Raw genomic sequence first — 9,979 nt, 5'->3', positions numbered from 1 at the left:
TGTTTTGTCATTGTTTAATATATGTATGCACCACTGTGATAAGCAAAATGAATCCCCCAACTTTTCCCCTCCCAATTCAACCTCCCCTTTGCCCCGTGCAATAACCACTGTAGATGATTTGGAGACATCTTTAGAGATATTTTCCTGTACTTTAACAAATATACTCAGATGTGTGTGTATGTGTGTGTTGTATGTATGTGTGAGGATTAAGTATTGATTAACATTAGGTATTGATACAATAAGTACAAATGCATAATTCTAGTGTCACAACTAAAAGAATAGAAACAGGGTACCTAACTTTGTACAGGCTACACACAAGTAGAGAAAATAAAATAAATGGAATGATTAAAATATACTCAGGTAATTCCAACTAAGAAAATAAAGGAGAAAACATGAAACATAAGACAGGAAAACAAAAAAAAATATGGCAGTAGATTTAAATCCATAAAACAGTAATTACGAAATAACTGCCCCCAACTAAAAAAAAGTCAGATTGTATTGAAAACATCCAACTGTATCCTGTTTATAAGACACATCTAAGGTACACGAAAATAGAAAAATAAATGGAAAGAGTTATGCTAGGTGAATGCTAACTGAAACAATCCTGGTATACATATATCAATGTTATACGAAATAGACTTTAGGTCAAAAAGTAATATGGTATATATAAAAGATCACTTCATAATGATAAAAAGTTTCCATTTTAAATTCATGTGCATCTAGTAACACAGCCCCAAAATATATAATGGAAAAGCCGATGCAGTTTCAAGTTGAAAAACCAACAGCCTTGGTGGAAATTTTAGCATGCCATTTTTCAGTAAATAATAGAACAAACAGATAAACAATCACCAATGACTGAGAAGACTTGACCACAACAAAATTTGACCTAACAAATCTACACAGAATAGTGCTTCCAGTTCTTACAAGAATACGTGTGTTCTTAAATACGTATGGTATAGTTAACAACATTGATCACACATTAGGTCAGAAAGCAAGTCTAAACAAATCTGAAAGGATTTAAATCTATAGAATATGTTCTCTGACCACCTCATAATTAAACTAGAAACCAATAACAAGGAGACAACTAGAGAATTGTCATATATTGAGAAATTTAAAAATTGTGCTTTGAAATAAGTCAGGAACTAAAGAAGTCATAATGAGAATTAGAAAATAGTTTGGGCTGAACAATAACAAAAACAATAAATATCCAAACTAGTGGGATGCACCTGAAGTAATAATTAGCTCCATTCATGTAAATATTAGAGGCTTCAGTATAAATATTAGAAAAGAAGAAAGACTGAACATTAAGAACTAGCCATCCATATGTCAAGAGGTTAGGGAAAAAAAAAAACCAACAAAATAAGGTCAAAAAAGGAGGTAGAATAGAATAAAAAGCATAAACTATTGAAACAAGGACAAAAACCTACGTAATTGAGGACCGGGAGAGCCAAAGGTGTTTTTTTTTAAATTTTTTAAGAATAATAAAATATTTTCCTATGTTAAAATTACAGGCCTAGATTTTTGTAAAATACACCCAGGTGCAGTGGCTCACGTCTGTAATCCCAGCACTTTGGGAGGCCAAGGTAGGCAGATCACTTGAGGTCAGGAGTTCGGAGTGTGAGACCAGCCTGGCCATCATGGTGAAACCCTGTCTCTACTGAAAATACAAAAATCAGCTAGGCATGGTGCTGCATGCTTGTAACCCCAGCTACTTGGGAGGCTGAGGTGGGAGGATTGCTTGAACCTGGGAGGTGGAGGTTGCAGTGAGTGGAGATCCTGCCACTGCACTCCAACCTGGGTAACAGAGTGACTCCATCTCAAAAGAAAGAAAGAAGAGACGGAGAGAAGGGACAGAAAGCAGAAAGAAAAAGAAAGAAAGGAGAAAGAGAAGAAAAGGAAGGAAGGAAGGGAGGGAGGGAGAGAGGGAGACAAGGAGGGAGAGAGGGCAGGCAACATTGTCTTATTCCTGACTTCAAAGAGCCAACTTTTGTTTAACAATTTTGGAAAACAGTTAGGCATTACCTAAAAGTTAAAATGTGTACATTTTCTAAGGCAGCAGTGTCATTCCTGGGTATATACCATAGACTAACTCTGGCACATTTCTCTCAGGGTACATATACAAGAATAGCAGTAGTGTTATTTGTAATAACAGTGTTGTGTGGTAAATTTTAGATAGCAATGAAATGAACAAAGGACAAGTACACTAAACCAGTTGGATAAATTTTTATCATAATGTAAAGGAAGCAGTGCACAAAAAAATATATACAGTATAATCCCATTTATATAAAATTTAAAATCAGGCAAAATGGATTACATTTTTTACAGATACTTTTATAGGTGGCCAGCAATATTCTTCACCTCTGTGGTGGTTACCTTGGTGTTTGCTTTATAATTACTCTTTCTTTTTCACGTTTCCATTTTGTGCACTTTTATGTTTATATGCCACACTTCACAATGCAATATGTTAAATTTTTTTAACCACAAATATATTAGTTCATATTCTCTTGGAGAATGTGAGTCCAATATTCCTATTGTGAAGTTGCATCTTAAATTTCATTCCTTTGTGAGTGGTTTAGCTTTGCGGAATTGTTTAATAATATCTGCTGTCTTTGCTCTTCTTCAATTTTACTTTATGTTTCTAGGTATTGGTATTTTGTTACATACATCTTTGGTAATCTGTGGCCTCTTTCAATTTGCTTTTGGAATTTATACTATCTGGGCATTGATAATACTATCCTCCCTAACTTTTATTGCCCCCTTTTCATTTTTATGTTTTGTATTTTCCATCTCTTTATTTATTTCTGCTGCCCTAGGGAGAGTTTCTATTGATCTTCCGATTTACTATTTTCTGTTTTTTTTGTTTTTGTTTTTTGTTTTTTGTTTTTTTGAGACGGAGTCTCGCTCTGTTGCCCAGGCTGGAGTGCAGCGGTGCGATCTTGGCTCACTACAAGCTCCACCTCCCGGGTTCACACCATTCTCCTGCCTCAGCCTCCCGAGTAGCTGGGACTACAGGCACCCGCCACCATGCCCGGCTAATTTTTTGTATTTTTTAGTAGAGATGGGGTTTCACCGTGTTGGCCAGGACGGTCTCAATCTCCTGACCTCATGATCTGCCCACCTCAGCCTCCCAAAGTGCTGGGATTACAGGCGTGAGCCACCACGCCTGGCCCTGATTTACTATTTTCTTATTTGATGTAATCATCTTGCTGTATATCCCACCTATTGTCATCTTCATTTTAACTATCTCATTTTTAAAATAAATATTTACAATTTTTAAAAGTAATTTCTTATTTCTTTGTTCTATCATCAATATCCTTCCTTAACTCTTGCAGATATATATGGTGCTTGCTTATTGGTCCATCTCTTCCAATAAATCTGCTTCATGTGGTATGTGTTATTCAGTGTGCTTCAAGTTTCTTTTATTATAAGTTCTCCTCAGGTACTGATATAGTTTGGCTCTGTGTCCCCACCCAAATATCGTCTTGAATTGTAGTCCCCACATGTCAAGGGAGGGACTTGGTGGGAGGTGATTGGATCACGGGGGCAGTTCCCCCATCCTGTTCTTGTGATAGTGAGGAAGTTCTCATGAGATCTGGTTGTTTGATAAGTGTCCAGCATTTCCCCTGCTCTCTTTCTTGCCACCATGTAAGAAGTGCCTTGCTTCTCCTTTGCCTTCTGCCAAGTTTCCTTGGCATATATGGCATATAGGGCTCCCTATATGCCTCCTGTATAGCCTGTGGAAGTGTGAGTCAATTAAACCTCTTTTGTTTATAAATTACCCAGTCTCAGGTAGTATCTTTATAGCAGTATGAGAACAGACTAATACAGAGAACTGATACCAAGGTAGTGGGGCATTTCTATAAGATACCTGAGAATGTGGAAGCGACTTTGGAACTGGGTAACCAGCAGAGGTTGGAACAGTTTGGAGGGCTCAGAAGAAGACAGAAAGATGAGGGAAAGTTTGGAACTTCCTAGAGGCTTGTTGACCAAAATACTGATAGTAATATGGACAATGAAGTCCAGGCTGAAGTGGTCTCAGAAGGAGATGAGGAACTTATTGGGAACTGAAGCAAAGGTCACCCTTGCTATGCTTTAGCAAAGATACTAGTAGCATTTTGCCCCTGCCCTAGAGATCTGTGGAACTTTGAACTTGAGAGAGATGATATAGGGTATTTGATGGAAGAAGTTTCTAAACAGCAAAGCATTCAAGAGGTGACCTGGCTTATTCTGAAAAGCATTCAGTTATACGCATTCACAAAGAGATGGTTTGAAATTGGAACTTATGTTTAAAAGTGAAACAGAGTATAAAGGTTTGGAAAATTTGCAGCCTGCCCATGTGGTAGAAAAGAAAAACTCATTTTCTGGGGAGGAATTCAAGCCAGCTGCAGAAATTTGCATAAGTAACTAGAAGCTGAATGTTTTAATAGCCAAGACAATGGGGAAAATGTCTCCAGAACATGTCAGAAAATTCATTGCAGCCCCTCCCATCACAGGCCCAGAGGGTGAGGAGGGAAAAATGGCTTTGTGTGCCTGGCCCAGGACTCCTCTGCTCTGTGCAGCTTCAGGACATGCTGCCCTGCATCTCAGCTGCTTCAGTTGTAGCCATGGCTAAAAGGGGCCAAGGTAGAGTTTGGGCCATTGCTTTAGAGGGTGCAAGCCCTTAGCTTTGGCAGCTTCCATGTGGTGTTGGGTCTGTGGGTACTCAGAAGACAAGAGTTAAGGTTTGGGAACCTCTGCCTAGATTTCAGAGGATGTGTGGAAATGCCTAGATGTCCAGGCAGAAGTCTGCTGCAGGGGCAGAACCCTCATGGAGAACCTCTGCTAGAGCAATGCAGAAGGGAAATATGGAGTTGGAGCCCCCACACAGATTCCCCACTGGGGCACTGCCTAGTGATGCTGTGAGAAGAGGGTCACCATCCACCAGACACCAGAAAGGTAGATCCACTGACAGCTTGCACTGTGCTCCTGGAAAAGCTGCAGGCACTCAACACCAGTTTGTGAAAGCAGCCACAGAAGCTGTACACTGCCTTGCATCATGTTTTATATTTTGTATTTATGTTTTGTATTTTCCATCTCTATATTCAAAGGAGATTTTGGAGCTTTAAGATTTAATGACTGCCCAGCTGGGTATCGGAATATCAGACTTGCAAGGGGCCTGTAGCCTCTTTATTTTGGCCAATTTCTCCCATTTGGAATGAGAACATTTACCCAATGCCTGTACCCCCACTTTATATTGGATGTAACTAACTTGCTTTTGATTTTACATGCTCGTAGGTGGAAGGGACTTGCTTAGTCTCAGATGAGACTTTGGACTTGGATTTTTGAGATTATGCTGGAATCAGTTAAGACTTCAGGGAACTGTTTGGAAAGCATAATTGGTTTTGAAATGTGAAAATAACATGAGATTTGGGAGGGGCCAGCAGTGGAATGTTATCATTTGGCTCTGTGTCCCCACCCAAATCTAATCTCAAATTGTAATCCCCACATGTTAAGGGAGGGACCTGGTGGGAGGTGATTGGATCGTGGGGGCAGTTTCCCCTATGTTGCTCTTGTGATAGTGAGGGAATTCTCATAAGACATGGTTATTTGATAAGTGTCTGTCATTTCCTATGCTTGCTGTCTCTCTCTCCTGCCACCATGTCAGATGTGCCTTGCTTCCCTTCACCTTCTGCCATGATCATAAATTTCCTGAGGCTTCTTCAGCCATGCGGAAGTGTGAGTCAATTAAACTTCTTTTGTTTATAAATTACCCAGTTTCCGGTAGTATCTTTATAGCAGTGTGAAAATGGACTAATATAGGTACCTAGTTTCTTTGAACCTGTAGCATCACATTAATTTACTGATGAAATCAGCTATACTGCTCTGTGTTGTCTATTAGGGAAGTGCTCAAAGACACATTCTCAACTGAATCCTTTTTTGAGAATTTGAGGAAAGCAGAAGGGTTAAGTTTCAGAGGAGAGAGCTCCAGGGACCAATAACCTCTGCTGACAGGAGTTGGAGGCCTGAACATTCCAGGGTACAATTCATCCTAGTCCTATTTCTATCAGCTCCTTATTAGCCTGGCCTTGTGCTCCTCTGGTAGTGCTTCACAACACTGGGAGGGCAGCAAAGCTTCCCAGGTGAAGTACGGGAGACAAGAGCTAAGATTATATATGACCTCCCCAGAGCCTCCCAAGCTTCCAGGGACATCCTCCTCCCCATGTGACTGCTGTGCTCTTCGGCTGCCTCCCTCCCTTCTAGTCACTAGTTCCCTTCTTCCCAGGGGTTTCTCACAGTCTTCATTTACTTCCAACAGCCAATTTCTTCCTGTTTCTGTAGTTTTCAAGGTTGATTTTGGAGACAGCTGTGCTAATTTATCATTTTTCTTATTTCTAGGAGTCCTGATTATACTTATAAAATTAGACTTTTGTCATATATAAATTAGTAATTTTTCTTTTGACCTGTTTGTGACTCTTCTTTTCTTTTTGGCTTGGGAAAAATCATAAAGTGCCTTTCAATAAGGAGCTAGTTGTTACAAAAATGAGTTAAAATGGCCCCTGGCCCTGTGTTGTTTACTTCTTCACAGCAGCCTGGGACTTCTTAACTCAAAAGCCGGCTACGGCCAAACTTAAATTTCTACACATCCAGTTGTTTTAAAATATAGCCCCCAAAAGCAGATTGTTAGCCATTTACAGCCTGCCTGCTTTGCACATCCTGAGAAACTGCACCCAACATCTGCTAACCATAGGTCCCATAGATTAGATAAACGCTGGGGCCACTGCTTCTCTCAGAGTTCTTTGCCCAGAGACTCCCACCATGCTGCTGAGTGACACCACCTAGACACATAACCCCCTCTAAATACTCTCCCTCAGATCTTCCTCTATGTCCCTTCTGGAAAGTCGCCTGTGCACCCTTGCCTTTGGAAGGTATCATGCTGTCACTGAGAAACTGCCCCTGTCCTCACCCCAACCCCCACCCTCACCCCCAGGCAAATCTGTCAATCTCTGCCCAAATAAACTGTGTGCTAGTGCCATCTGGTGGTCGTCCAAATCCCCTTTGTAACATATTTAACTCCTTACACAAGTTAAATTTGTTACAAAGAATTATCTGCCGCTGTTTTAAAGAAATGAGTTAGATTGATATGTACCTGTGTGGAAAAATGCTCTAAAATTGTTAGGTAGAAAAAAATGAGTTATAAAACAATGTGCAAAATAAATCCCATTTACAATAAAATGTGGAATGAAGACATATATATGCCCATTCATGCATAGAAAATATGTGGATGGAGTTACAATATGCTGTTTGTAATTTACGAGATTAGGATTGAGGTAGGGCGCTCAGGAAAGGACCTTTCATTGTATTCTTCTACAGTGTTTGAATTTTTCAAAACAGTGTATTTTTTAGCTTTTTTCCAATTAAAATGAGGAGGACTGGGGAAAGCTGAATTTAATGAGTACAGTGGCAATAATGCACCAATAAAGTGGTGCATTAGAGATATGCTGATGCAAACCAAAATATACAAGTTGATAATTGAGATTAGGCTGCAAGTGTTATTTCTCTTTTAAGAACAATGTTAATGAAAGGAAGCTTTGAAGTCGAAAGAAGGAAATTTTGGTTATTCTTGTTAAGATCATTTTATTAAATTTTGTTTTAGGATGCCTTGTCTTAACCACATCTACGTAGTAGCAGAATCAATAAAAACTGAGTTTGATAATGTTTTTGTTCTCTCATTGTCATATTTATAAGGCGTTATAAGTCACATATCTTTATGAATATATGAATATGTGATAGATTTTCCTAAAATGTATTGAGTTTTTTAGAGCAATGAATACTTTAGGTGAATCTTCATTGTTGTAGGTTGAATTGTGCCTCCCCCACCTCTCCCACTAAATTAATATGTTGAAGTCCTAACCCCCAGTACCTCAGAATGTGACCTTATTTGGGTCACAAAGAGCCTTACAGGGTCACTGTAGATATAATTACTTGAGGTCCTACTACAGAAGTGTAGGCCACTAATCCAATATGACTGGTGTCCTTATGAAAAGAAATTTGGACTCAGACATGTACACAGGGAGACTCCATGTAAATGTTGTGGTTATGCCGCTACAAGCCAAGTGTTATGGATTGAATTGTGTCCCCCCAAAAGATACATTGAAGTCCTAACCACTAGTATCTTAGAATGTGACCCTATCTGGAGATCTTTACAGAGGTAGTTTTAGGGTCTTTACAGAAAGGTAAAAATGAGGGTATTAGGGTGTACCCTAATCCAATATGGCAGATGTTCTTATGAAAAGGGGAAATTTAGACACAGAGATATACATAGAGGGAAGATGACGTGAAGACATAGGGAGAAGGCAGCCATCCAAAGTCAGGGAGAGAGATCAGGAACAGATCCATCTCTCAGCCATCAGAAAGAACCAACCCTATTGATACACTAAATTTTGACTTCTAGCCTCCAGATCTGAGAGACAGTAAGTTTCTGTTGTTTAAGTCATCCAGCTTGTGACACTTTGTTGTAGCAGACCTAGCAAACCAATACATTCATCAGAGCACATCCACTGCCTTCCTCACTCCTTCTTCTCAATCTTGTCAAGTAATTCCACTTGCTTGCATTAAATCTGATGATCAGTACTATCATTTAAAAAATGTTATGGAACTTACAAGACAAAGAACTCCCTACTTTAGTCCTTTATTATCTGACTTCTGTGTTTCTGCAATAAAATTATCTTCCTTCCTGTTTCTTTCTCAACTTGACCTATCTTTCCTAACACTACCAAAACAATTTTAAAAAACACTACTCTGATCAAGACACTCAAATGATGAAAAAATTTCCATTGTACTTCACCCTCAGCCCCAAAGCAAGAGAACATAGCAAAACCTCTTACTTGTCTGTGTTTCGAGGCCTTTTCAAAATTGATCTTCCTGCTTTCTCTACTGTTCTCAGGATGAATCTTTCCTTCCTTTCAGATTAGAAATTCTCTCTTTTTATTCTCATAACTTTGCATTGACTTCCTCTCATATTTACTCTAACAAAAATTGTACTCATTCTACAACTGTACTCATCTTCAGTGGAAGTATTACCTTTTCAATGACATCTTCCTGGTCACTATCTAAGAGTAAGCACTTGTTTCTATGCCCTGGTATAACATTTGGCACCTATTGGCACACTACTGTAATCATGTGTTGTGCCTACTTTGTCTTCCCTATTAAAGTCCAGTATCTGGAGAGCAAGAACCATCTTCAACTCCTCCATAGAGCATTACATAAGGTTATTATGTATCAAGTATGCAATAAAGAAATGAATAAATTTTCACTATTCAGTCAAAAAAATCTGCTTTGGTTCTAAAGCATGTAAAAGCATTGCTTTGAAGATAAACTGTTTTAACTTGTAAATGCTATAAACAATGTTACAAGGTTGTTTGTCTACAAAGCACAACCAAAAGTTAAATGTTAAAATAATAAGTGGTGGAGATTATAACTTGTCCACCAGTATTGGTTCTTCCTTTTGTCTTTGTATTATAATCTCCTAAGTTTCAGCAGATCAGTGGGCAAATTGCTTCATTTCACAAACTCCCTTAATGTTGGCTGTGGCTAGGCAAGTAAGTTCTCACCAACAGAGAATGAGAAGTGAAATTTACAATTTCTGGGTTGCTTCCTGAAAAAGAAATAGATTGTCCCCCTGTATTCTCGTTTTGTTCTATTCTTTGGTGGCCCAAGTGGTTTCTGGCTTCAATTTTGCAGATGAGGCCAACACCTGAGTCAATGACTAGGCAGCCATGAAAAGAATCTGGGACCCTGTAAAACCCACTTGAGCAGAGCTGCCTGACTTCCAAGCATACTCTGAGCATTTATGTGAAGGAAAAATAAACTTAAATCTTGCTTGAGCCACTTCCTTTTTTTTTTTTTTTTTTTTTTTTTTTGGTTATTTTGTTACTACAGCTACATACCCTGAAAAATATACTACAGTAGAGTAATAAAAATTGAACATTTATTCTGAACA

The 9,979-nt window shown here is 38.9% G+C and overlaps 1 annotated feature.

Moving 5' to 3' along the window:
• Positions 9,538-9,677: a silencer, noted in NCBI's record as "silent region_15780". NCBI's record gives its function as "represses an Ori minimal core promoter by ATAC-STARR-seq in GM12878 lymphoblastoid cells {active_cell/tissue: GM12878}" and the evidence as "EXISTENCE:reporter gene assay evidence [ECO:0000049][PMID:35858748]".

Source organism: Homo sapiens, chromosome 4 (genome assembly GCF_000001405.40).
Source record: "Homo sapiens chromosome 4, GRCh38.p14 Primary Assembly".
Lineage (NCBI taxonomy): Eukaryota > Metazoa > Chordata > Mammalia > Primates > Hominidae > Homo > Homo sapiens.
Note: the sequence above shows the minus strand (reverse complement) of the source record. Positions and strands in the feature narration are given on the sequence as shown.